Genomic DNA, 27,917 nt, shown 5'->3' on the forward strand with positions numbered 1-27,917 from the left:
TCCACAGATGCTCAAGTTTATATAAAATCGCATAGGCCAAGCATGGTGGTTCATGCCTGCCTGCAAACCCAGTACTTTGGGAGGGCGAGGCAGGTGGATCACTTGAGGTCAGGAGTTCAAGACCAGCCTGGCCAACATGGTCAGACCTCATCTCTACTAGAAATACCAAAAAATTAGCCAGTTGTGATGACATGCACCTGTTATCCCAGCTATTTGGGAGGCTGAGGCAGGAGAATCACTTGAACCTGGGAGGTGGAGGCTGCAGTGAGCCAAGATCATGCCACTGCACTGCAGCCTGGGTGACAGAGTGAGACTCTGTCTCAAAAAATAAATAAATAAATAATAAAAATAAAATGGCATAGTATTTGCACATAATCTACACTTATCTTCCTGTATACTTTAAATCATCTCTACATTACTTATAATATGTAGTACAATGTAAATGCCATGTAAGTGGTTGTTATACTGCATTTTAAATATTTGTGTGACTTTTAATTGTTTTATTTTTTCCAAATATTTTTCATCCATGGTTGGTTGAATGTGTGGAAATGGAGCCCACAGATATGGAGGACCGACTACACGTAACCACCTTAAAAGAGGCGTCTGCAGGCCAGGTGTGGTAGCTCACACCTGTAATCCCAGCACTTTGAGAGGCCAAGGTGGGCAGATCACTTGAGGTCAGGAGTTCAAGACCAGCCTGGCAACATGGCAAAACCCCGTCTCTACCAAAAAACAAAATACAAAAATTACCTGTGGTCCCAGCTACTCAGGAGGCTAAGGTGGGAGAATCACTTGAGCCTGGGAGGCAGAGGTTGTAGTGAGCCGAGATTGCGCCACTGCACTCCAGCGTGGGTGACAGTGAGACCCCTATCTGAAAAAAAAAAAAAAAAAAAAAAAAAAAAAGGGTCTGCAAATAGTATACATTTAAATATGAAGTTAATTTTCCTGAATTTCTAGAACCACATTTCCTAAGCCATCAATAGCCTCAGAATGTTCACACTGAATGTCATTTTCTGCAAACATTTGGCCTTTCTTGTGTGTTTTCATATGGCATACTTACCTTCCTTTTCTTTTTCACCTAAAGTAACCATCTGGTTCTGCTTTTCCATTAATCCTCCTTCCTTCCTTCCTTCCTTGCTTCCTTTCTGTCACTTTTCTAAGCGTTCTTTATGCCTTCTTGACATTTGACTGATAATGACAATCACCCCAGGAGCTTAAAAAAATGACAGTTTCCTGGTCCTCATGGCATCTGAGATCTGCTTGTTAGACATCCCAGGCGTCATTTGGTATGCAGCCAGATATGGGAGTCACTGTCCCAGAAAACTTGCCTTTCTCTCCTGTGCCCAGCGCTTACTTTGACATTCCTAACCCATCACTGTCTGGCCTCGATGTACATTTCCTGGCTCATTTTTCACCGTATTCCCCAGGAGGGCCATGCTTCCCTGCTTACGTTACCATTTCTGCACATGTACCCACCACCTTCTCCCTTCTGAGTCTTCGGTTACTGTCTCCCCAGATTTTGGAAGGAATGTTCTTTCTTTCCATTCTTTGACTTGTAGAAATTCTGTGCACCTCCTAGACCCAGTTTTGTGATTACTATACTGCAAAGTCTTTTCTGATTACAATTAGCTGCCCCTTTTTCCCTTCCTAAGTTTTATATCTATTAAAAAACACTGTTTTTCTTCTGTTTTGTCTTAGCTGCTCTCTCCTGAGCTGGATTCCTTCCTTATGTCTGAATTCTGCACAATGTCTAGCATAGTACACTTTAAGGTATTTGATAAATGCTTCCATTTTTTTCTTGGAGACTGGGTCTTGCTCTGTCACCAAAGCTAGAACACAGTGGCACCATCATAGCTCACTGGAGCCTCCAACTCCTGGGCCCAAACGGTCCTCCTTCCTCAGCCTTCCAAGTACTGGGACCACAGGCACATACTGCCATGCCTAGTTAATTTTTTGATTTTTTTTTTTGTAGAGACAATCTCAAACTCCTGGCCTCAGGCAATCTTCCTGCCTTGGAAGTGTTGGGATTATAGGCATGAGCCACTGCTCCAGGCCTGATAAATGTTTCTTTTTTTCTTCTTTTTTTTCTTTTTTTGAGATGGAGTCTCTTTCTGTTGCCTAGGCTGGTTTGCGGTGGTGTGATCTTGGCTCACTGCAACGTCTGCCTCCTGGGTTCAAGTGATTCTCATGCCTCAGCCTCCCCAGTAGCTAGGATTACAGGTGTGTACCACCATGCCCGGCTAATTTTTGTATTTTTAGTAGAGATGGGGTTTCACCATGTTGGCCAGGCTGGTCTCAAAACTCCTGACCTCAAGTGATCCGCCTGCCTCAACCTCCGAAAGTGCTGGGATTACAGGTGTGAGCCACTGCACCCAGTCTGTTTCTTAAAAGAATGAATGGGTGGAAACTCAACAGAGATTTGTAAAGTACCATATGTGTTTTACCAGTTGTCCAGCTGATTAAATCTTTGTGGGTTTCTTTTGCTGTTTTATGCCCGAAGTTAAATCCATGCTTTCTTTGGTTATTAATACTGATGTTATTTAAGAAATGCAAAAAGGCCTTACTTTAGTTTCTAAGCGGTCTTGGATTTACATAGCATAAAAATTAGAATGGATTTAAATGGGAGTTAAACAGCAGGAGCTGGCAAAGTCAGGCCCATCTGACATTGTTATCTAGGCTGTGTTCTTTGAGTATGGAAGATGACAAGGAAACATTAACACAATAGCTTAATAGTTTACTTCCTGTCTTTGGTCAAAATGTTCCAAAAACTGAATTCTTACCTCAAAGTCACTAGCCTTTGGGTGATGAATTCAATTGTAATTACTTTGGGTTTGCTCATGACAGTAATGCAGTAACTTAAAGTTAGAAAATAATTTCAACCCAGGAGCATCTTAAATAGAAGTCATTATTGTCTCTATGTAATTCTTGTTGGAATGTTTCTTTGGGCAATTTAAACTGCCCACACATTAGGGCAATGACTTTCTGAGCATTTTGTAGCAATTAAGAGTTGTTGTTTCTTGTTCTTGGCATTGTTTTTGTTGCCTTGTGAGAGAAGATCTGTGGCAGGATGCTGCTCTTAAAAATTTTCCTTTAAATTGACTCAAGCTGTTATTTCCTTCTGAATGTCTGATCTTATAAGACATAGTAGATGCTATTAAGAAAGATTTGTTTTACTGTTGTTTAGCACTTAAAACATATATTTTGTAGTTATATGTGTTAGCTAGGGTCAAACATAAAAACTCAAATGCTGGCTGGGCGCGGTGGCTCACGCCAGTATTCCCAGCACTTTGGGAGGCTGAGGTGGGCAGATCACTTGAGGTCAGGAGTTCAAGACCAGCCCGGTTAATATGGTGAAACCCCGTCTCTACTACAAATACAAAAAAACAATTAGCCAGGAGTGGTGGCAGGTACCTGTAATCCCAGCTACTCGGGAGGCTGAGGCAGGAGAATTGCTTCAACCGAGGAGGCGGAGGTTGTAGTGAGCCGAGATCGCACCATTGCACTCCAGCCTGGTCAACAAGAGCAAGACTCTGTCTCAAAATAAATATATTACAATAAAAAATAAAAACTCAAGTGATACCAGATTACTATAAATAAGAGTGTTATTTCAGATATTTTAATTAGAGCATCCATACTGTTATCTTCTGTTATTTGATTAGACTTTTACTATGCCTGAGCAAGGAAAGGCATTTGAAGAGAATTTCTTAAACTTTATAAACAAAAAATTTTGATTTGTCCCAAGATTTTCAGCCTATTTCTGATCTAGTACTACCCAAAGAAGAAGGTAGCATATTTTGTTTTTAACTCTTGGCAAGTACAATGTTTACATTTCCAGATCTTTATCCTTTGTCAAAATGTTCCTTTTCAATATGAGGAGAGAAATATATTGGTACTTGAGTATGTGGGCTAAAAACCAATTCCATCAAGATACCAGAGTAAAAAATGTGTTAACTTCAATTTCTGTCCGCGATAGCTACTTGTCAAACAGTCCTTTTTTTAAAAAAAGAGAAATATATCTTATACAAGAAAACGCTGCCAGCTTTTAGCAGTAAACTTTTATCAGCAATGTGACCAGATGTGTTTCTGCTGAACTATGATTATGCCAAGGTCAAGATCCAGTAGTAAACTGAACTATTTAATTCTTCTCTCTGTTTAAGTAATAGCATTAACATTCTTGAAACCCATATTTAAAAAAAGAAAAATGACCAACATAATTTCTTGCATTGCACGTTAACAATGACCATTGGCCCTCTCTCTACAGATGTTAGGATACTCTGACCTGACATCATTATCTAAATAATGGTTGTTCCATTGCTACGAGGGGCTTATTGTACATTAATGAGATAGCCCTCTATCTAATATTTAAATAAACCAATTTATGTATGTGGCCAATTTGCAAATTAAAAAACAAACATTTCACATTTGGCCTTATATCAGGTTATAAAAATATTATGTGCTGCTTATGGCAATTTGGGGGAAGTAAAGAGAAATACAAAGAAGCAAGGAAAGAAATTACCTATAATTCCAGGACCTTAACACAGTAATTAACATTTGAAGTACTTCTACTTAATCCACTGGGGGAGGGCATGCTTTTTTGCAAATTTAATTCCATCTTATATGTTACTTTTGTTTTTGTTTAACATCGTGTCATAAGTATTTTTCCTTATCATTACACTTCTCTGTGATTGTCATGTTAAAGACAGTGTAGTCATTTCATCCTGCTCAGTTTCCTGCTTGTTGGCCAGTAGTAGGGAGCAGCAGGAGTGTGTGATGTCCCTGCATCCTTCTTCCCATCCTAGAGGCCTGAGAGTCACATTTTCTGTCCTTAGCACACTGAGGACAAAGTCTCAGCTACTCCTGAGTTGCAGCATGCACATTTTGTCACTTTTGAACATTTTGAAAATTGAATGCAGCCAGAGATGACATGTTACATTTAATTGGTGGCATTGAGACTTTCACAAAGGAGAAGCATAAGATAATGGTACATTAAATCATGGCATGGCCTTTATCCTAGAGTTTCTTGTAGTCAATGAAATATATCTTCTTCTTTCCTTTGCTTTAGGATGAGCTCGTCTCCCTTTCATGGTTCTGACAAGTTTCCCTTCTTATTGACCTATTTTGTTTATTTCCACCTCTCATCATCAGTGCCAAAGTCTATTCTTGAGCCTTAACCCATCTGGCTAATCTGGACATCTGTTTCCTACCACTTTTTTGAAGGCTTTAACTTTCATGTAAACCGTGGGACCCCTATCCACAGGCATAGATCCCCCAGGGCTGATTCCATTCAGCTTGGATTTAATGCCATTTTACCCTGCTCTGCTTAGCTAAAATACTATCCTGCTTTCAGCCACTTCTGAAATCAGACAAGACTGCTGTGCTTGATTTGTGCAAATATGTTGTCTAAAGCCAGTGTCTGCAAGCTGGCTAACTCCTTAGTAAACTGGTTCCCTCCAGACCTTTTACCTAATATCGTTTTAGAGAAATGTAAGTGTATTGCATCTTAGGTTCGTGTTGAGGCATCAGGTAATGTCTAGTGGATAATAGCTTCTATGGGTTTGGAGACTCAGGAGAACATTGGGGAAGGAATACCAGGTGTAGATCTGAAAGTCATCTCTTTAGCAACGGATTGTAGTTAAAGGCAAGTAAGCAGATGGGATGACCCAAGAAGTGCCTAAAGAAGGCAAAGAGGGAGTCTGCGGGTGTTGAAGCTTTCAACGTGAAGCACATAGAGAATGAGTCTGGGAAGAATTTGATAAAGATACTGGTTGAATTCCATGCAACTCAAGGAAACAGTGAGTTTCCAGAAAGATTACGAAGTAAAGGTATGACAAAAAAGAAAATAGCTTTACCAGTTGGTCTTTAATTACTATGTCAAAAAGGAAGTATGGTGCAGTGTTTTGTGTGGAAGCCATTGTATAGAGGGATGAATGGGAAAGATGGAAATGGGGAGAGTAAATAATAGATCTGAATGTAATGAATACTGACCTTTTGAACCAAGAGTACCAATAATAAAGAAGTCAAAGGCATTTCCTTTCATCAGCTTAAAGAATTGCATAGCATATCTGCTAAAAACTTTACATTTAGAACATAGATATTGAAGAAAATGACTCATACTTTACCAGAATTCAAAGGTAAACAGTTACTATACTGCATTACATCTTCTACGGTTTTTATGCATGTTCATACATATGTGTCTATATTTCACTTATAAAATTGAAATCATGTTGTACATATTTTTGCAACTATATATATGTTATTAATTATTATTATTTTTGTGGAGATGGTGGTTTCCTTTTGTTGCCCAAGCTGGTCTTGAACTCCTGGACTCAAGCAATCCTCCTGCCTCAGCCTCCCTAGTAATTGGGATACAGATGTGCTCCACCACACCTGGCTAAAAATATTTTTTTTTGAGAGATGGGGTCTTGTTTGTTGCCCAGGCTGGTCTTGAATTCCTGGTTTCAAGTGATCCTCCTACCTTGGCCTCCCAAAATGCTGGAATTACAGGCATGAGCCACTGTGCCTGGCCTTCAACTATTTATATAGTTTATATGTTGTGAACAACTATGCCAACTTTGATCATCGTAGATTAATTTTGCCTGTTATTGAACTTTTAAATTTATTTTTGTTTTGCTTGTTTTTTAACTTTATATAAATGAAACGATTGTTTATGCCTTTGTGTCTGATTTCTCAACATTATAATATTATAATAACATTCAACATGGTGTTCAGAGATTCCTCCATGATTTTGCAAGTAATAGTGGTTCTGAATACAAGTCCAGATACAGGTACTGAATATATCTTCTCCCAGTCTGTCTTTACCAGTTTATTTATTTTATTTTATTTTTTTGAGGTGGAGTTTTGCTCTTGTTGCCCAGGCTGGAGTGCAATGGCGTGATCTTTGCTCACTGCACCCTCTGCCTCCTGGGTTCAAGCGATTCTCCTGCCTCAGCTCCCAAGTAGCTGGAATTATAGGCATGCACCACCATGCCCAGCTAATTTTATATTTTTAGTAGAGATGGGGTTTCACCAGTTTGGTCAGGCTGGTCTCGAACTCCTGACTTCAAGTGATCCACCCACCTTGCCCTCCCAAAGTTCTGGGATTACAGGCGTGAGCCACTGCGCCTGGCCTGTCTTTGCCAGTTTAAACTCTTAATATTGCTTGATAAACAGAGCTCTTCATTTTAACAAAGTCTAGTTTATCACTTTAAAAAAGTATATGTTTAGTGCTTTTTCTGTCCTATTTGTGAAATCTTTGCCCACCCCAAGGTCATGAAGATAGTTTCTTATGTTTTCCTCTTTCAGAAGTGTTGTTATTATTATTTTTCAATTTGGTCTGTGAATCATCTGAGATTAATTTGGGGGTATTGCATAAGGTAGGGGGTCTGGATTTTTTTTTTTAATGGACTTTATATTTTAGAGCAGTTTTAGACTCAAAACAAAATTGAGCAGAGGGTCCAGAGATTTTCCATATCCCCCCTATTCCATGCATGCGTACATTACCTCCTTATCAACATCACCCGCAAGAGTGGCACATTTATTATAACTGATGAACCTACACGGATCCATCATTATCAGCCATGGTCTGTATTTTACATTAGGGTTCATTGTTGTGGTTGTACATCTGTGGGTGTGGACAAATGTATAGTGACATGTATCCACCATTACAGTGTCATATGGGGTAGTTTCACTGCCCTAAGAATCTCCTGTACTCTGCCTGTTTATCTCTCCCTCCCTCATCCCTGGCAACCATGGATGGATCTTTTACTGTCTGCGTAGCTTTGCCTTTTCCAGAATGTCATATAGTTGGAATCATACTGTATGTAGCCTTTTCAGATTTGCTTCTTTCACTTAGCAATATGCATTTAAGGTTCCTTTCATGTGTTTTCACATGGATAGTTCATCTCTTTTTAGAGCTAAACAATATTCTGTTGTCTGGATGTACCACAGTTTACTCACCCACTGAAGGGCATCTTGGTTTCTTCCAAGTTTTGGCAATTTTGAACCCAGCTGCTATAAACATCTGTGTGCAAGTTTGTGTTTGCATATAAATTTTCAACTCCTTGGAGTAAATACCAAAGAGTGTAGTTGCTGGGTAGTTTCATAAGAGTATTGTTTAGTTTTTTAAGAAACTGCCAAACTGTCTTCCAAAGTGGCTGTACCATTTTGTATTCCCATGAGCAATGGATGAGAGTTCTGTCACTGTTGCTTTATTTTGCATTCCCCTGATGACAGGTGATGTGGAACATTTTTTCATATGCTTATTTGCCATTCATATATCTTTGATGAGATGTCTGCTATGGTCTTTGGCCCATTTTTAATTGGGTTGTTCATTTTCTTATTGTTGAGATTTAAGAGTTCTTTGTATATTTTGGAGTCCTTTATCAGATATGTCTTTTGCAAATGTGTTCTCCCAGTCTGTAGCTTGTCTTTTCATCTCTTGGCAGTGTCTTCTGCAGAGCAAAAATGTTTAATACTTACCAATTTTTTCTCTCATGGGTCATGCCTTTGGTTTGCTATCTAAAAAGCTATTACCAAATCCACGGTCATCTAGACTTTCTCCTGTGTTATCTTCTAGAACTCTTACAGTTTTGCCTTTTACATTTAATTTTGTAATCCACTTAGAGTTAATTTTTGGGAGAGGTATAAGGTGTTCGTCTAGATTCTTTTTTTTGCATGTGGATTTCTAGTTCCAGCACTATTTGTTGAAAAAAATTATCTTCTCCCCATTGTATTACTTTTTTCACTTTTTTCTCTTTTGCTAAAGATCAGTTGACTATATTTGTGTGACTCTTTTCCTGGGCTGTGTTCTGTTCCTTTGGTCTATTTGTCTGTTCTTGCAACAATATCACATACATTTCAGGGGATTTGATATAGTTGGATTAACATCTACTGTATTTGTTAATGTTTTCTATTTGTTGGTCTTGTTCTTTGTTTCTATTTTTGTATTCCACATTTTTTCTTTTGTGGTTTTGAGTATGTTAAATATGATTCCATTTTCTCTCTTTTCTTAGCATATTAATCATACTTCACTTGTTGTTTTTTTAGTGTTTTCCCTAGAGTTTGTAATATAGGTCTACCAGTAATTGAAGTCCATTTTCAAAGAACACTATATTCCTTCCTGAGTAGGACAAGTATTTTATGATAATAAAATAATCTTTTTTTTTTTTTTTTCGAGATCGAGTCTCACTCTGTCATCCAGGCTGGAGTTCAGTGGCCTGATCTCGGCTCACTGCAACCTCCACCTCCCAGGTTCAAGCAATTTGCCTACCTCAGCCTCCCAAGTAGCAGGGATTACAGGCGCTCACCATTACACTTGGCTAATTTTTTTAATCTTTAGTAGAGACAGGGTTTTACCATGTTGGCCAGGCTGGTCTTGAACTCCTGACCTCAAGTGATCCACCTGGCTCGGCCTCCCAAAGTGCTGGGATTATAGGCTTGACCCACTGTGCCCGGCCTCCTTATAATAACAAAATAATCCTGATTCTTCCCTCCTGTCCTTGTATCATTGCCATCACTCATTTTACTTATACATAGGCATGCATAATCAATATATTGTTGCTATCTTATTATTTTGGCCAAATTGCTATCTGTTGGATGAATTAAGAATAAGAAAAATAAACATTTTTATTTTACTCCTTCTCTGATGTTCTTCCTTTCTTTTCTTAGATCTGAGTTTCTGACCTGTATCATTTTCCTTTTCTCTGAAGAACTTCTTTTAACATTTCTTTCAAGGAAGATCTACTGGCAACAAATTCCCCCAGATTCCAGTTGTCTGAAAAAGTATTTCTCCCTTAGTGTTGAAGGACATTTTCATAGGGTGCAGATTCTAGGTGGTGATTTTTTCTTTCAGGGCTTAAATATTTCACCCTGCCGTCTCCTTGCTTGCATGCTTTCTGGGTAGAAGTTGAAATCATTCTTTCCTTTTCTATAGGTAAGGCTTTTTTCCCTCTGTCTTCTTTCTGGATTTTGTTAAATATTTGATTTTCTGTGGTTTGAAACTTACATGCTTATCTATAGTTTTTCTGACATTTATCCTACTTGGTGTTCTGGGAGCCTCCTGACTGTGGTTTGGGGCCTGACATTAACATGGGGAAATCCTGAGTGATTATTCGTTCAAATACTACTTTTGTTCTTTTCTCTCTTTCTTTTCCTCTTGGTATTCCTGTTACACATACATTACACCCTTTATAGTTATCCCACAGCTCCTGAATATTCCATTCTGGTTTATTTCAGTCTTTTTTCATTTTGCTTTTCAGTTTTAGAGGTTTCTGTTGAGAATCCTTAAACTCAGAGATTCCTTCATCAGCCATATCCAGTCTCAAGGCCATTCTTCATTTCCAAAGTTAGAGTGTTTTAGAGCTCCAGCATTTCGATTTTGTTCTTTCTTAGGATTTCGATCTCTGTTTACATTGTCTATCTGTTCTTGTGTGCTGTGTACTTTATCCACTGGAGCCCTTTGCATCTGGTCGGGTTATCCCAACATCCCTGCCGTGTCAGAGCCTGGTTTGGATCCTTGTGCTATCTCTTTAAACTTTGCTTTTTGCCTTTTAGTGTGCCTTGTAACTTCTTGTCACTGAACGTGATATCCTGGGTAAAAGGAACTGCTCTCACTAGACCTTTAATAATGTGATGGTATGGTGTATGGGGAGGGGAAGCATTCTGTAGTCTTATGATTAGGTCTCAGTGTTTTTTTTTTTTTTTTTTGAGACGGAGTCTTGCTCTGTCACAGGCTGGAGTGCAGTGGCACGATCTTGGCTCACTGCAACTTCTGCCTCCCAGGTTCAAGCAATTCTCCTGCCTCAGCCTTCCAAGTAGCTAGGATTACAGGCACCCGCCACCATGCTCCACTAATTTTTGTATTTTTACTAGATACGGGGTTTTACCATGTTGGGCAGGCTAGTCTTGAACTCCTAACCTCAAATGATCCACCTGCCTTGGCCTCCCAAAGTGCTGGGATTACAGGTGTGAGCCACCGCGCCCAGTCTAGGTCTCAGTCTTTTAGTGAGGCTGTACCCCTGGACTGTGAACTTCACAAATACTTCTCAGTTTTTTCTTCCCCCTTGGGACAGGTTGGCTAGAGTGTGCTGCAGTTGGCTATTTCCCTTTTCTTACATGGAAGGCCGGTGCTGGCTGGAGTTGGGTATTTCTCTTCCACTTGGTTAGTTAGGCTCTGATAAAACCAAGCAAGTTAGGTTCTGGTTAAATCGTTTCTCCTGGGAGCAGACCTTGTTATCAACAGAATGCTCTGACACATGTCAAATGGTTCCTGTTTCCCTCCCCTTACCGGAAGCACAAGGGATTTCCCCCTGTATACTTACTGTGAGAATCTGGCAGAGCTCCAGTAGGTAAAACTCACAAAAGTGTAGGGCCCCTAATGACTGGGTCTGTCTGGAATTTTTATGTGTCAGACTTGTCCACACTGAGCCTCCAGCACTTTGTCAATTACAGTTCAGTTTCCCTGTGTTAGCGCTGGTCTCTGTGGAGGTTTCTGCTCCTGTTAAGTTGTGATTCTCTGTGCCTGCCTGTTTTTCCCTCCAATTATGGGGACAGCAGGTTTGCCCTGTGACCTCACTTCTCTGATGGATCTAAGAACAGTTGTTGATTTTTCAATTTGTTCAGCTTTTTACTTGTTAAGACACAGTGATGACGTCCAAGCAACTTTCTTGCTGCATTGGAAACTAGAAGGCTCGTAGGGGTTAATTTTAAGTTTTAAAATCTGATAGTATAAGTCTCACAGCTTTTTTCTTTAAGACCTAGTAATTTTTGTCTTTGTGAATTCTCCTTTTAGTGTCATGCTTAGACCCTTAGGATATAAAAATACTTATGTATATTTTCTGGTTCTTTCCTAGCCCAGTTGTTTAAATCTCAACTCTTTAATCCAGTTGGGATATAACTTAGCATTCATTTTTATGTCGTTCCCAAGTACCATTTATTGATGAACCATCTTTAAAGTACAGATTTGATAAGCTATCATTACTACGTATTGAAACTTGATATATGTGCTGTTCCATTCCCAGAAGATACTCTGTGTGTTGATTTCTACTTTTTTTTTTTTGTTAACAGAGTGTCATATCTTTCTATAGAAGTAATTATAGGCCGTGCGTGGTGGCTCATGCCTCTAATCCCAGCACTTTGGGAGGCTGAGGTGGGTGGATCACCTGAGGTCAGGAGTTTGAGACCAGCCTGGCAAACACAGTGAAACCCCATCTCTACTACAAATACAAAAATCAGTTGGGTGTGGTGGTGGGTACCTGTAATCCCAGCTACTCGGGAGGCTGAGGCAGGAGAATCACCTGAACCCGGGAGGCGGAGGTTGCAGTGAGCCGAGATTGTGTCACTGCACTTCAGCTTGGGAAACAGAGACTCCATCTCAAAAAACAAACAGATGGCTGGGTGCGGTGGCTCACATCTGGAATCCCAGCACTTTGGGAGACTGAGGTGGGTGGATCACGAGTTCAGGAGGTCGAGACCATCCTGGCTAACATGGTGAAACCCCGTCTCTACTAAAAATACAAAAAATTAGCTGAGCATGGTGGTGGGTCCCAGCTACTCGGGAGGCTGAGGCAGGAGAATGATGTGAACCTGGGAGGTAGAGCTTGCAGTGAGTGGGGATCATGCCCCTGCACTCCAGCCTGGGCGACAGAGCGAGACTCTTAACTCAAAAAAAAAAAAATGCAAAATACAAAAATGAAGTAAATATAACACTCCAACACTCTTCTTACTGTCTGAATAATATTTTTTAATATGGATTTAACAAATAACCTCACAAGTCTTGTCTTTGGCAGCCTTCCCTAACTCCTTCCCTCCCCTCCCACAGTCTGCATTTGGCACTTCTGGGTGAAGGGTACTTGTGCTTTCTTTTACCACCCAGGAGAGCAGGGGTTGGTGTGACTGCTTATTTAATTGTCCTTGCTCTGAATTGAAAAGTCCCCTAGGGAAGGCAAGATGTGTGTTATGCCTTTTTGTTCACTGTGGTATTCAAAGCCCTTAACACGGTGACTGACACATGATTGCCACATAAGTATTTGGTCAATGAGCAAATTGCATTTATCTGATCTCCTCTTGGTGTATATTCTGTTATTTCCCAACAACCTGCTTGGTTTAGTAATTGAAAGCTTGGGTCTCTGAAACAAGGCTACCAAGGTTTGGATACTGGCTCTGCCACCTATTGTGTGTGTAATTTTGGGCAAGGGACTCACTTTTCTCACCTGTGAAATGGGGTAAATAACAGTGCCTACCTTATAGGGTCTAGACAAAAACACCTAGAAACATTACAGTAGGTAATTTTGTTTGAATTTTACAAAATGATGCCCTCTATTGTCATTTTTGTGTATATGATTAAATATTTTATACATATGAAAAGATACAGTGAATAAGATAGTAAGTACCACTATAACTATAGTCTAGCTTAAGAAATAAATATTACAAATTCATTTGCAGTCTCTGTGGACCTCATTTCTATCCTATCATACTTCTTTTCCTTCTCTTTCTTTCAGAGGGAATCAGTATCCTGTAATTGGTGTTTATCGTTCCATATTGTCTTCAGTATTTCATGTTTGGTGTTTATCATTCCATATTGTATTAATGAGGGTTCTCTAGAGGGACAGAACTAATAGGATAGATGTACATATGAAGGGGAGTTTATTGGAGAATTGACTCGCACTATCACAAGGTGAAGTCCCACAATAGGTCATCTGCAAGCTGAGGTGCCAGGAAGCCGTTCCAAGTCCCAAAACCTCAGAAGTAGGGAAGCTGACAGTGCAGCCTTCAGTCTGTGGCCAAAAGGCCTGAGAGCCCCTGGCAAACCACTGGTGTAAGTCCAAGAGTCCAAAAGCTGAAGAACTTGGAGTTTGATGTTCGAGGGCAGGAAGCATCCAGCACGGGAGAAAGATGAAGGCCAGAAGACTCAGCCAGTCTAGTTTTTCCACGTTCTTCTGCCTGCTTTTATTCCGGCTGCACTGGCAGCTGATTAGATGGTGCCCACCCAGATTGAGGGGTGGATCTGCCTTTCCCAGTCCACTGACTCAAATGTTAATCTCCTTTGGCAACACCCTCACAGACACACCCAGGAGCAATACTTTGTATCCTTTAATACAATCAAGTTGACACTCAGTGTTAACCATCACACAGGGTCTTGCTCTGTTGCCCAGGGTGGAGTGCCACAAGTATGATCATGGCTCACCACAGCCTTGAACTCCTGGACTCAAGCAGTCCTCCCACTTCAGCCTCCCAAGTAGCTAGAGACAATAGGTGTCCGCCACTGTGCCCGGCTAATTTTTGCATTTTGTAGAGATATGGTCTCACTGTGTTGCTCAGGTTGGTCTCGAACTCCTGGCGTCAAGTGATCCTCTCGCTTTGGCCTCCCAAAGTGCTGGGATTACAGACGTGATCTACTGCTCCTGGCCTATCATTCCATATTTATACTTCACTCTTATGTATAACTCCATAAGTAACAGAGCATAGTGTTTTCCATATTTTAAAACTTTATATAATATTGTAACCCTATATGTATCCTTAAGCAACTTGATTTAATTTTTGACCATTTTTTTAAAATAAAAAATTACATTTTTACCATTTTAAAGTGTACAGTTCAGTGGTATCATGTACATTCATATTATATGCAACTATTACCACCATCCATCTCCAGAGCTGTTTAATCTCCCCATTCTTTCCCCCAAACTATGAAACTTCATACCCATTAAATAGTAGCCTCCCTCATTTCTTCCTCCCTGCAACCTGTTTTTCTTTTGTTTGATATTATGCTCGTGACATATTCATATTGTTATATTTAGCTTTTGAGACTTTGTAACTGCTAGGTAGCCTTCTATCCTGTAAATATTCCCCGATGTAGGAGAAATTCATCCTCCTACAGATGGGCATTTGGATTGTTTCACAGTTTCTAACTCTGCAGTGAACATTATTGAGAGTGTCTCTTTGTGCACATGTGCAATAATTTCTTTCGGAACTAACCTGTGGTTGGAAGTTGCTGGATCATAGGATATGTACATCTTAAACTTGAACTTGATTAGATTTTTGTCACCGTACCCTGTCCTACGTGATTATACTTAGGAGACTACTGCATTAAATTTCTATTTTCTATCCTCACGAATACTTGGTCTTGTTAGTTGTTGATTCTATTTTATTTATTTTTTGAGACAGGATCTTGCTCTATTGGCAGACTGGATGCAGTGGTGCCATCATGGCTCACTGCAGTCTCAACCTCCTGGGCTCAAGTGATCTTCCCACCTCAGTCCCCCCACGAAGCTCGGACTACAGCCGTGCACCACCATGCCTGGCTAATTTTTTTGATTCTTTAACTTGTACAGATGGAGTCTCACTATGTTGCCCAGCTTGTCTTAAACTCCTGGCCTCAAGTGATCCTCCTACCTTGGCTTTCAAAAGTGCTGGGATTGTCCGGGCACGGTGGCTTACACCTGTAATCCCCAGCACTTTGGGAGGCCAAGGCAGGCGGATCATGAAATCAAGAGATCGAGACCATCCTGACCAACATGGTGAAACCCCGTCTCTACTAAAAATACAAAAATTAGCTGGGCGTGATGATGTGCGCCTGTTGTCCCAGGTACTTGGCGGCTGAGCGAGTTTCCATCTCAAAAAAAAAAAAAAAGAAAAAAAAAAGTTTTGGAATTACAGGTGTGAGCCACTGTGCCTGGCCATTGTCAGGGTTTTAGGTTTTGCCAGTCTGATTTGAGGTTTTATTTTATAATCCTCCCAGGAGTGGGTGAGCATTTTGTTGTGTTTGGCCATGTCTTTAATAGCCTTTCCATACCTTGCCCATTTCTCCGTTGGCTGTTTGCCTTTGTCTAGACTCTTAGAATTCATTCTTTCTGCCTGTAATGGGCTTCTCTATGTTGATATGGTTTGTTTTCTCATTTCCTTCAGGACTCCACTCAAATATCACCTTATCAGAGAGTTAGCCCCTCCTCATCCTGTGGAAAATAATATCCCTCCTCAGCAGCACTGCCCATCCCTCTTCTCTGCTTGTTTTTTTCCATAGCAGCATCAACTCCAGACTTGCATGTTATTGGTTTTTATTCCTTTCAACTGTGAAAGCAGAGACATTTTCTCATTCCCTGCACTATCCTCAGTGCCGCGGATAGTGCTTTGCCTGTAGTATGCATTTAGTAAAAATAGGATTAATATAATAATTCATGCATCCTAGTATTCAGGTTCCCAGAAATGATTACCTTCACCTTGGGCTAGGTGAAATAAACAAGTGCTAATAGATAAATAAAAGGGGCTGGGCGCGGTGGCTCACGCCTGTAATCTCAGCACTTTTGGAGACTGAGGTGGGTGGATCACTCGAGGTCAGGAGTTCGAGACCAGCCTGGACAACATGGTGAAACCCTGTTAGTACTAAAAATACAAAAATTAGCCTGGCATGGTGGCAGGCGCCTGTAATTCAGCTACTCAGGAGGCTGAGGCAGGAGAATCGCTTGAACCCGGGAGATGGAGGTTGCAGTGAGCCAAGATCACGCTACTGCACTCCAGGCTAGGTGATAGAGCAAGACTTCATCTCAAAAAAAAAAAAGATAAATAAAAGGATACCATATATCCAAACAACTCTGTGAACCTTAGCAGGGTGCATGTCGGAGAACCCAGGGAAAAGCAGAAAAAGTTTCTGCTAGGCCAGGAAGCGGAAGCTGTCAAAGATACAGGTAGCCATTCTTCATTCTGCCAAGGGCTCCCAACCTCCCTCAACTGTATAAAAACTCAGAATCCTGGAAATCAGGAGACAAATGTTCCATGCCCATGTGTTTTTTTTTTTTTTAATAATTGAGGTATAATTTACATATCATAAAGTTCAAGATGTGATGGCTCATGCCTGTAATCCCAGCACTTTGGGAGGCCAAGGTGGGAGGATTGCTTCAGCCCAGGAGTTTGAGACCAGCCTGAGCAATATAGCAAGACCCTTTCTCTACCAAAAAAAAAAAAAAAAAAAAAAAAAATCAACCAGGTGTGCTAATGCATTCTTGTAGTCCCACCTACTTAGGAGGCTGAGGTGGGAGGATCAGTTGAGCTCAAGAGGCCAAGGCTGCAGTGAGCTATGATTGTGTCACTGCCCTCCAGCCTAGGTGACAGAGTGACACCCTGTCTAGAATGGATGAATGAATCAATGAATACATGCATATGTATATACAGAGAGAGAGAGAGAGGAAGTTCACCCTTCTAAAGTATGATTTTTAGTATATTCACAAGCTTGTGAAATAATCACTACCTAACTCGAGAACATTGTCATCACCCCAACCAAGTTTCTTTTTGAATATGATGTTAAAACAGTTTTTTTTTTTTTTTTTTTTGAGACAGTCTCTCACTCTGTCACCCAGGCTGGAGTACAGTGGCATGATCTTAGCATGCTGCAACCTCCGCCTCCTGGGTTCAAGCGATCCTCCCACCTCAGCTTCCCAAGTATCTGAGATTACAGGCACATGCCACCACACTGGCTATTTTTTTGTATTTTAGTAGAGATGAGGTTTCCCCATATTGGCCAGGCTGGTCTTGAACTCCTGGCCTCAAGCAATCCACCGCCTCGGCCTCCCAAAGTGCTGAGATTATAGGCGTGAGCTACCACGTCCAGCCAACAGTTTTTTTTTTTTTTTTAAAGCCTTTATGGTTTATGCTGAAGCATCCAAATAACTGAGTTTCTCTGTAAATAAAGGATCTGCTCACTCCCAGAGCTGCTGCTCTTCTAGCACCTGGCCAGCAAATCCACCCTGTCCAGGTATGGCAGCCCCACCAGTTCCTTGTGTCTGACCTGGAAAGCCAGTCACTGTACCACTCAGGGTTTGCTGTTGAGACTCTGTTGTGTTTCATTATTGAACTAAATATAGTGTACAGCAGACATTGGGTCCTGCAGAGAACATTCTTATCATAAGTTCTTTTATTTAATAATCATAGCTCTAATAGCTAACATCTGTTAAACAACCTCTTACTAAATTCTGGTACTGCTAATCCTGAGTATGTATCATCTTATCTTCATACCTTTTATATGAGTCGTAGATATTGTTCACCTTGTTTTACAGATGAGGAAATTGAAGGTCACAGAGCTGTTTGGCTTCATGGTATATTTTTATTATCTTTTAGCACTTGTTTATTTGACATAGCCCAAAGTGGAGGTGATCGTGTGTGGGAACCTGAATACCAGCCACTAAAATCAAACTGGTATTTGAACCCCTGTTTAGCCCCAAAGAGCTTCAGTTTGTTAACCATAACCGTTTCCAGAACACAGAAGTTAGTCCTGCTACCTAAAGTTATCATTTTTCCTTCTCTTATTTATTCTTTGAACCAGAACAGCATAGTATGTTTCCATGTTATGTACTGTGATGTTAAGATTTTCATGGGTTAGCGTATGAAACTATTACAGTTATGTAATTCTGTAGTGATCTGTTGCCAAGGTATTATTAGTACTAGAGGAAGATTTCATCTGATCTGAATAATCTCTTCTATTATAAATTGGCTTTTTTTTCACATGAGAAGAAAATTGTTTTGTATTTAATCATTGTAATTAATAATGTGACATTTAAACTGTTAGCTGATGAACTGTGATGACTGTGGAGTAGTGTTTGTAATTTGATGAAGTGTAGATCCACATACCATATATTAGTATGTGTGTGTGTTTATACAGTGCGTGTGTGTGTGTGTGTGTGTGTGTGTGTGTGTGTGTATATATATATATGCTGACATCACTATATTAGGGCAACATAAAAATACTAAAATTATTGACTGTCAAAACTAATAATGTGTAGTTGTCCTTTTCCAGTTGACTTAGTGATGGGAAAAAATTGCAAGTTTTCCTGTTTTCTTTTTTTTCTTTTTTTGAGACAGACTTTCACTCTGTCGCCCAGGCTGGAGTGCAGTGGCATAATCTCGGCTCACCGCAACCTCTGCCTCCTGGGTTCAAGCAATTCTCCTGCCTCAGCCTCCTGAGTAGCTGGGATTACAGGTGCCTGCCACCACACCCGGCTAATTTTTGTGTTTTTAGTAGAGACGGGGTTTCACCATGTTGGCCAGGCTGGTCTCAAACTTCTGATCCACCCACCCTGGCCTCCCAAAGTTCTGGGATTACAGGTGTGAGCCACCGCGCCTGGCCTTTGTTTTGTTATTTTCCTACAGGATTTTTGGTTGGGAATCGGTTGTTTCAAGCAAACTCCTTCCTCCAGCACTTTCTAGAAAGAAAGATGCTAGAACTAAAAGTTATTCTAGGCAGGTCCTTGGAATTCCCACTTACTTGCAAGTCATCCCTTATTTTTTGGTACTCTTTTTATTCTAAGGCTAGAAATCCCTTTCTAAGGACAAGTATAGAAGATTTTAAGCCAGGCATGGTGGCTCACACCTGTAATCTCAGCACTTTGGGAGGCCGAGGTGGGAGGAACTCTTGAGCCCAGGAGTTTGAGACTAGCCTAGGCAACATGGCAAGACCTCATCTCTTTAAAAAAAATAAATAAAATAAAAGAGAAAAAAGGAAAATTTGAAACTGTGCTTTTTAAAAGATTGTATTTGACAGCCTACCTAACAGGAAACAATTCCATTGGGCAAAATGCTTTTAAGCACAGGAATCAACCTTAGTTGGAGTGGAATGATTCAACACTATGTGGCCAGTTTAAACAAGACTCTGGGAGGTGTGGTTGGGTGACTTGGTCTGCGTGGCTGAGCATTACATCTTCTCTATGTGGAAAGATTGGTGTGTATGGAGGTGTGGATTAAGACCTAATTAAAAAAAAATTTGAGGTGGAATGGAATCTATAGGAGGAATCTATGAAGACGCCCTGCATCAGACATCCTGTCCAAAGGGCCTAGTTTTCTCATCTCTGTGGTGCTTAGTAAGTGTTTCTCTAAGGAGACATCACAGCCACTGCCGAAAACAACCTCATCTTAGCAGCAGAGAGAGGCCCACACTCTCACACCATGCACCTCTTCCTCTTGATCCCAGAGTACCGAAAAAGAGTTTTGGACTAAGAAACCTGGGAGGTTGCTACCGATCTGGACTAGGCCTTGTGCTCTTGTTAATGCTTAAAGTGACTTTCTGAGAATGGGCTGGCCAGCTACCTCCTTGTGGCTAAGGGCTTGCTTTGCAGACACCCCACACTTCACAGAGAGGAGCGAGGGGTTCCATCCCCTGTGAAGCCTAGGCAGTGTCCTAGCAAGCCATCTGTATGATGCCCACAGGGAATAGTGCGTATTGAACTGGTAGTCCTCCTGGTTTCTCTGCTTCGAGTGTTTATTCTCTAGACCAGAAATTACCTTTTTAAAAAAAGTAATAATAATAACTCTATGAAGGAGGAGGGTTCTAAAAAGAGTTTTGTTTTTAAATTTTAAGTTTTGTGGGTACATAGTAGGTGTATATATTTATAAGGTACCTGAGATACTTTGATACAGGCATATAATATGTAATCATTATGTGATAGAAAATGTGGTATCTATCCCCTCCAGCATTTATCCTTTGTGTTACAAACAATCCAATTATACTCCTTTAGTCACTTTTAAATGTACAATTAAATTATGTTTGACTATATTGTCAACCTGTTGTGCTATCAAAGACTAGGTCTTATTCATTTTTTCTATTTTTTGTACCCATTAACCATCCCACCTTCCTCCCAACACCCCCACTACCCTTCCCAGCCTCTGGTAACCATCCTTCTACTGTCTGTCTCCATGAGTTGAATTGTTTTGATTTTTCGATCCCACAGTTAAGTGAGAACATGCGATGTTTGCCTTTCTGTGCCTGGCTAATATCACTTAGCATAATGACCTCCAGTTCCATCCATGTTGGAGATGACAGGACCTCATTCTTTTTTTATGGGTGAATAGTACTCCATTATATATAAATACCACATTTTCTTTATCCATTCATCTGCCATTGGATACTTAGGTTGCTTCCAAATCTTGGCCATTGTGACTAGTGTTGCAATAAACATGGGAATGCAGATGTCTCTTCCATGTTCGATATACTGATCTGAAAAGAGTTTTGATACAAATATATGTAGTATATAAACTTCTCTAATGCCTTACTTCAAAACCTGTAGTTATTTGTGGATCTTTTTATTTTATTGAGACGGAGTCTTGCTCTGTCGCCCAGGCTGGAGTGCAGTGGCCGATCTCGGCTCACTGCAGCCTCCACCTCCTGGGTTCAAGCAATTCTCCTGCCTCAGCCTTCAAGTAACTGGGACTACAGGTGCACGCCGCCACACCCGGCTAATTTTTGTATTTTCAGTAGAGATGGGGTTTCACTATGTTGGCCAGGCTGGTCTCCAACTCCTGACCTCAAGTGATCCAGTCACCTTGGCCTCCCAAAGTGCTGGGATTACAGGCATGAGCCACCATGCCCGGCCTATTTATGGATCTTTTGAAATCTTGAGTTTCTAAAATCGAGCAAGTATTTGTAATCCTTGAAACAAAATGTACACACATGTGTATGCACACATACATATGCATATACACATATGTGTATATATGTACATATATGCTGTTGTCTGTCAGTATCTGCAGGGGATTGGTTCCAGGACCCCCGTGGATACCAAAATCTACAGTTACCATCCTGCAGTTCACCCTGCAGAACCCACAGATATGAAAAGTTGGCCTTCTCTATTCAAGGTTCCCACATCCCTCGAGTACTGCCCTTTCTATTTGCAGTTGGTTGAATCTCCAGATGCTGAAGGAACCCAGAAATACAGAAGGCTAACTGCATATTACATACCTGTGTATACAGGTGTGTGTGTGTGTGTGTGTGTGTGTGTGTGTGTGTGTGTGTGTATGCCCAAATAAATTCAGGTCCTCAAACTGTAATGATCACCATATTTAAAAAAGATTTCCCTCTTAAAATTATCTTTTTTTGTGAATCATCATTTTGCTTCATGCTCTGTTAATGTAAGAGGAACAGAATCCCTTGGGTGTTAGTCCATTTTCATGCTGCTGATAAAGACACACCCGAGACTGAGCAATTCACAAAACAAAGAGGTTTAATGGGACTTACAGTTCCACATGGCTGGAGAAGCCTCGCAATCATGATGGAAGGCAAGGAGGAGCAAGTCACATCTTACATGGATGGTGGCAGGCAAAAAAAATGAGAGAACTTGTGCAGGGGAACCCCACTTTTTGAAGCCATCAGCTCTCGTGAGACTTATTCACTATCATGAGAACAGCATGGGAAACACTTGCCCCATGATTCAGTTACCTCCTACCAGGTCCCCCCACAACATGTGGGAATTCAAGATGAGATTTGGGTGGGGACCCAGCCAAACCATATCACCTTGTTCTTTGCCTTTAGACTTTATAAAATATTTATCCAGCCTCCTATTCTTTCCTTGAATTTTTCCCACTTACATAATGGTGTGTTTTGAGATTGAATAATTCTGAAAAAAAAAAAGACTTTTTAAATACAATTTTAAAAGAAATTAAAGTTAATAAAGTGAATAAAGTTGGTACACTTTTAAAAAATGTTTAAAGTTGGTACTAAAATGTCCTAAACATACTGAAAATACTACTGCCAATCATTAAATAAAGACCTATAAGCCAATAGAAAATAAGAAAATAGAAAAATAAGGAAAAGAAACAAATCCTTTAATGAAATCCACACAGCTCTTAAATATAGATAAAAAATTAGTGAAGAAGTAAGTACTCTCATACACCTGGTGAGACTATAAATTGCTTCAGCCTCATCTTTGAAGGTCACTTTTATGGTACCTGTTAAAATAAAAAATGTGCACTTTGAGTCAACAGTTCATATCTAGTAATTTCCCCTGAGACATACATTCATGTGAAGAAAAATATATACAAGATTATTCATTGTGACATTATTTATAATAGCAGAAGATTAGAAGCAAACTATCCATCAGTCAGGAGCCAGTTAAAATAAGTTATGGTTCAACCACACATTGAATTGGTTTTGACCCAAGTGTCTGGGGGTGGAGGGAGACCTTTGGCTGTATTCTTCCTTGTACCTTTTCTGAGTGTGACTTATTTTTAAAAAGGACAACTGTCAGAAGCCACCCCTAAGAAGATCATTTTTCTAAGGAATAATAACCTAGAAAGCTAGTATTTTCTATTTTGTAGGTTATTTTTCTGGGGAAAAATAGCCTATAAGTGTTTATCTTTATTCATTTATTTTTCTGTCTCTCTGACCAGAGAACAGGGCCCTTGTCGGCCTTAGTCATTGGTCCCCAGAAACTAGAAGAATTTTTACCAGATATTAAATGCTCAATAAATATTTGCTGAGTGAATCAATACAGTTTGTGCAGTTTAGTTCTTTTTAACATTTATTTACAGACTGGAATATTAAGCTTTATGCAAACCTAAGAGGCCATCATAAAAATAAAAATACATCATGTATATTTATTTTCCCTAAATATTCTAACCAACACGCAAAATAATTTTCCAAGTCTTAGACTAGTAATTGCTCAACTTGAATATGTTGTTTGAGCACCATTTGGTACAGTGGCTACTGAAAAGCACTGAGTGTTTCCTTTCATACTCCATTTATTCCCCCGCCTTTTGGAAGTGTTCAGACATTTTTACAGTTCGTGTTTGTCTAGCCAAAATATTTCACTGGAAGCCCATGGGGGTCTTTCTACTCCTCAGAAAGCGAGCAGAGTGTGAGTGTTTGACTCCCAGGGCACCATACTATAATAGCTATGCAACCTTGGCCAAACCACTGAACCTCTGTGAAGTCTTTGCTTCCTCACTGTAAAGTGGGGTTAAGAGTACTTCCTAATTGGAATTAAATGATAACACATGAGGCCAGGCATGGTGGCTCACACCTGTAATCCCGGCACTTTGGGAGGCCAAGGCGGGTGGATCACTTGAGTTCAAGAGTTTGAGACCACCCTGACCAACATGGGGAGACGCCCTCTCTACTAAAAATACAAAATTAGCTGGGCGTGGTGGTAGGCGCCTGTAATCCCAGCTACTCGGGAGGCTGAGGCAGGAGAATCGCTTGAACCCGGGAGGTGGAGGTTGCAGTGAGCCAAGATCATGCCATTGCATTCCAGCCTGGGCAACAAGAGTGAAACTCAGTCTCAAAAAAAGATAACACATGAAAACTCTGAATACATTGCTTGGCACATGGGCTCAATAATGTCAGTGCTATTATTATTTAGAGACAGGGACTTGTTCTGTCGCCCAGGCTGGAGTGCAGTGGCACAATCATGGTTCTCAGCAGCCTTGAACCCCTGGGCTCAAACAATCCTCCCACCTCAGTTGCCGGAGCAGCTGAGACTACAGGCATGTGTCACCACAGCCAGTTAATCTTTATTTATTTATTTATTTTGTAGAAATGGGGTCTCACTGTGTTGCATAGGCTGGTCTTCAGCTCCTGGCCTCAAGTGGTTTTCCTACCTTGGCCTCCCGAGGCACTGGGATTATAGATGTGAGCCACCACATCCAGCCAGTGCTATTATTATTGTTATTTATTTTTTATAATTTTTTTTTCGAGACAGAGCCTCGCTCTGTCACCCAGTCTGGAGTGCAGTGGCATGATCTCAGCTCACTGAAGTCTCTGCCTCCCGGGTTCAAGAAATTCTCCTGCCTCAGCTTCCCAAGTAGCTGGGACTACAGGCACAAGCCACCATGCCACCATGCCTGGCTGATTTATTTTTTAAGAGGCAGGGTTTCGCCATGTTGGCCAGGCTAGTCTTGAACAACTGGCCTCAAGTGGTCTGCGCACCTAGGCCTCCCAAAGTGCTGGGATTACAGGCATGAGCCACTGCGCCTGGCCAGCCAGTGCTTTTATTAATAAAATTAGTTCAGAATTAGGCCAGGTGCAGTGGCTTATGCCTGTAATCCCAACATTTTTGGGAGGCTGAGGTGGGTGGATCACCTGAGGTCAGGAATTCGAGAGCAGCCTGGCCAACATGGTGAAACCCCATCTCTACTAAAAACACAAAAAATTAGCCGGGCGTGGTGGCAGGCGCCTGTAATCTGAGCTACTTGGGAGGCTGAGGCAGGAGAATCTCTTGAACCCGGGGGGCGGAAGTTGAAATGAGCCAAGATAGCGCCATTGCACTCCAGCCTGGAACAACAGGAGCAAAACTCCATCTCAAAAAAAAAAAAAAGTTTAAAATTAAATAGTGGTTTGCTTCTTAGAATAATTTTTGTGTATAAATGACTGTCAATATTTTGGAGACTTTGTTTATACTATAATCATTTCCACCAACTCTTGCTTTGTGCGTAGTATATTTCAAGTTCTGTGCTAGGCCGGGGCATATAGTTACAACTGGGATGTGGTCTTTGCCTTAGAGGAATTGTTTGTGTGGGAGATAGATAGTTTCAGGACTTGGTGAGAAGTGCTGGGCTACAAGGAGCGTGAGGAGAGATGCTGACATTGACATCAGAAAAGGCATTCTGCAAGAAGTGATAGCGGAACTGAGACTTAAAACGTAGTGTTATTTAATGCATACTTTATTCATCTGGCATAAACTTAAAATGTCACAGACTGATAGGGAGTTAGAAGTAAGCTTTCCCTCCACTCTGACCTCCAGCTGCTCTGTGTTCCTTAAGAGCCACCACTGATTACTAAAGAGCCTTCCTGTTTGCGGAAGCAGGCAGAGTTTGGCGATTTGGGAAAGCACGTGTGGCTTGTGGAGCAGTTCAGTTCCACCAGAGTCCAAGAGCATGGGGTCAGATGGGGAGTGGAATGACAGTGGATAAGCTGGGGTGTTGAGAAGGAGTTTTCTCAGCCTTCATGTTAAAAAACAAAGCTACACTACTCCAAAAATGGGAAATGGTCTTAACGATCTAGCTGTCCACAAGCTGGTAGTGCCTGGCACACTGAGAGAGCTTTTAAAAGGCTGTTTAAATAATTCTGTGATTCTAAAAACATTCAAGTAATCATTTGACAGAAGCTGAGAAAGCGTTTTTTGGTGTATATGCTAATTAGCTAATTTTTTGACTTAAAACCGGTTGAACAAAAACATTTATAATAGTGTAAAAGTATTGAGTCATGGATGACATTTTCTCATGTTTTCCAGTTTCCACTGAAAACAAACAAAATCTATGATAACATTACAGAAAAACAATTTGTATTTTATCTTTAAAAGTTTAATGAAATTTTATATAGGTCATTAATGTAGCAGTGGATCATTAATTCAGTAGACATTTCTAGGACTCCAAGGCCTAGATGACCAAATACATGGGTAGTGTGTGTCATGGGAGGGTGACTTAAAGACTTTTTTCATTTGAGAAAGTATCTTTTATGTGACGCTAGCTGTGTATTAAGGTCAGCCTTGAGTAAATTATGGCTTGAATAGTAGTGACACACAACTACCTAAAAAATAAGAAAAATGGTTTTAAAGATCTGGCAAGCCACAAGGGAATAGAATTTTCTCTACCCTTTGACTTTTGATTCATATATCATCAGATTGTCTGAAGAGTATATGAACAGACATCTCTTCCAAATACAGGCGTACCCTACAGGTCACCTCTTTGTGTTGCTGGTTTTCCACTACAACATCTCTTTGTTTTGTTTTGTTTTTTTGAGCTGGAGTCTTGCTCTGTCACCCAGGCTGGAGTGCAGTGGCATGATCTCAGCTCACTGCAGCCTCCACCTCCCGACTCAAGCAATCCTCCTGCCTCAGCCTTCCGAGTAGCTGGAACTACAGGCGTGTGTCACCACACCTGGCTAATTTTTGTATTTTTTATAGAGACAGGGTTTCGCCGTGTTGCCCAGCCTCCTCTAGAGCTCTGAGCTGAAGCTATCTGCCCGGGTTGGCCTCCCAAAGTGCTGAGATTGCAGGCGTGAGCCACCGGGCCTGGCCTCCTCTTTGTTTTTAATATCCAAACTTCCTACAGCACAGCAGTCTTTCAATACAACGTTTTTAACTGATACTTACAAAGGCAACATTTATATTTATTTCCAAAAACTAATACAGCATTTTAAACAAAAACATATGCAGGAAAAATCCAGAATGCCAGCTCCAAATACAATCAGTCGATGGTGAGAGTCAGATGTGGGTGATTTGAAAGGCCTACTAATTTGCTTCTTGCTGGTGCTGGCACTGAGAGAGGCCACTTTCCCATCCTGAGCAGTTGATGTGAATCTTGTTTTTTTGTTTTCAGTTGTTAGCAGTCTTTTACATATTTTACAGACCAATACAATGGCTATTGTACATATGGGCATTTTACCCTGTTTTAGTTTCTTTTTTTTTTTTTTTTTGAAACGAGTCTCGCTCTCTCTCCCAGTCTGGAGTGCAGTGGCATGATCTTGGCTCACTGCAAGCTCTGCCTCCCAGGTTCATGCCATTCTCCTGCCTCAGCCTCCCGTGTAGCTGGGACTACAGGTGCCCGCCAGCACGCCCGGCTAATTTTTTTGTATTTTTAATAGAGACGGGGTTTCACCGTGTTAGCCAGGATGGTCTCGATCTCCTGACCTCTTGATCCACCCGCCTCGGCCTCCCAAAGTGCTGGGATTACAGGCGTGAGCCACCGCGCCTGACTGGTTTCATTTTTAAAAACTGGAGATTTTGAGTTGATGTGTAACACATTTTAATTTTTCCCAATTAAAATAGTGTGAAATATGCTTCATTTAGCATTTTCAGGAACAGGTTGGTGCTCTCAGCTAGGAGATTCCTGTGTTACTATTGTTTCATCATCTTAGATCAGCCAGTGATATGGTGGTTCTTTAAATGCATTGGGTATATATTTCCTATGGTCATTTTTTTCTGAATGCCTTCCTGCTGCCCACTGTATTTCAAGTAGTATTTTTCAAATTTATAGTATTTAGCTTATGATTTTTATGTTTTGTTTGTTTGGGGTTTTTTTGAGACAGGGTTTTGCTCTGTTGCCCAGGCTGGAGCACAGTTGCACAATCACAGCTCACTGCAGCCTCTGCCTCCTGGGCTTAAGCAATCTTCCCACCTCAACCTCCCAAATAGCTGGGACTACAGGTGCGTGCCACCATGCTCAGCTAA

The 27,917-nt window shown here is 40.8% G+C and overlaps 1 protein-coding gene and 1 long non-coding RNA gene across 6 annotated transcripts in view, besides 1 other annotated feature; one reads left to right on the top strand and one right to left on the bottom strand.

Annotated features, from left to right (window-relative positions):
- The window catches only part of LOC124901664 (uncharacterized), a 30,839-nt gene extending 14,261 nt beyond the window's left edge, over positions 1-16,578 (bottom strand). Inside the window, exon 1 of the long non-coding RNA XR_007060370.1 lies at positions 751-16,578. This is a non-coding gene — a long non-coding RNA (uncharacterized LOC124901664). The remainder of the gene's footprint in view (positions 1-750) is intronic.
- TYW1 (tRNA-yW synthesizing protein 1 homolog) overlaps positions 1-27,917 on the top strand; it is a 242,682-nt gene that overhangs the window by 121,172 nt on the left and 93,593 nt on the right. The gene's annotated exons all lie outside the window — the stretch shown is intronic.
- Positions 16,538-16,715: a silencer, noted in NCBI's record as "fragment chr7:66599529-66599706 (GRCh37/hg19 assembly coordinates)". NCBI's record gives its function as "represses an EF-1alpha promoter that drives an FKBP-Casp9 reporter gene in an ReSE screen in HepG2 liver carcinoma cells {active_cell/tissue: HepG2}" and the evidence as "EXISTENCE:reporter gene assay evidence [ECO:0000049][PMID:32094911]".

This window comes from Homo sapiens, chromosome 7 (assembly GCF_000001405.40).
Source record: "Homo sapiens chromosome 7, GRCh38.p14 Primary Assembly".
Taxonomy (NCBI): Eukaryota; Metazoa; Chordata; class Mammalia; order Primates; family Hominidae; genus Homo; species Homo sapiens.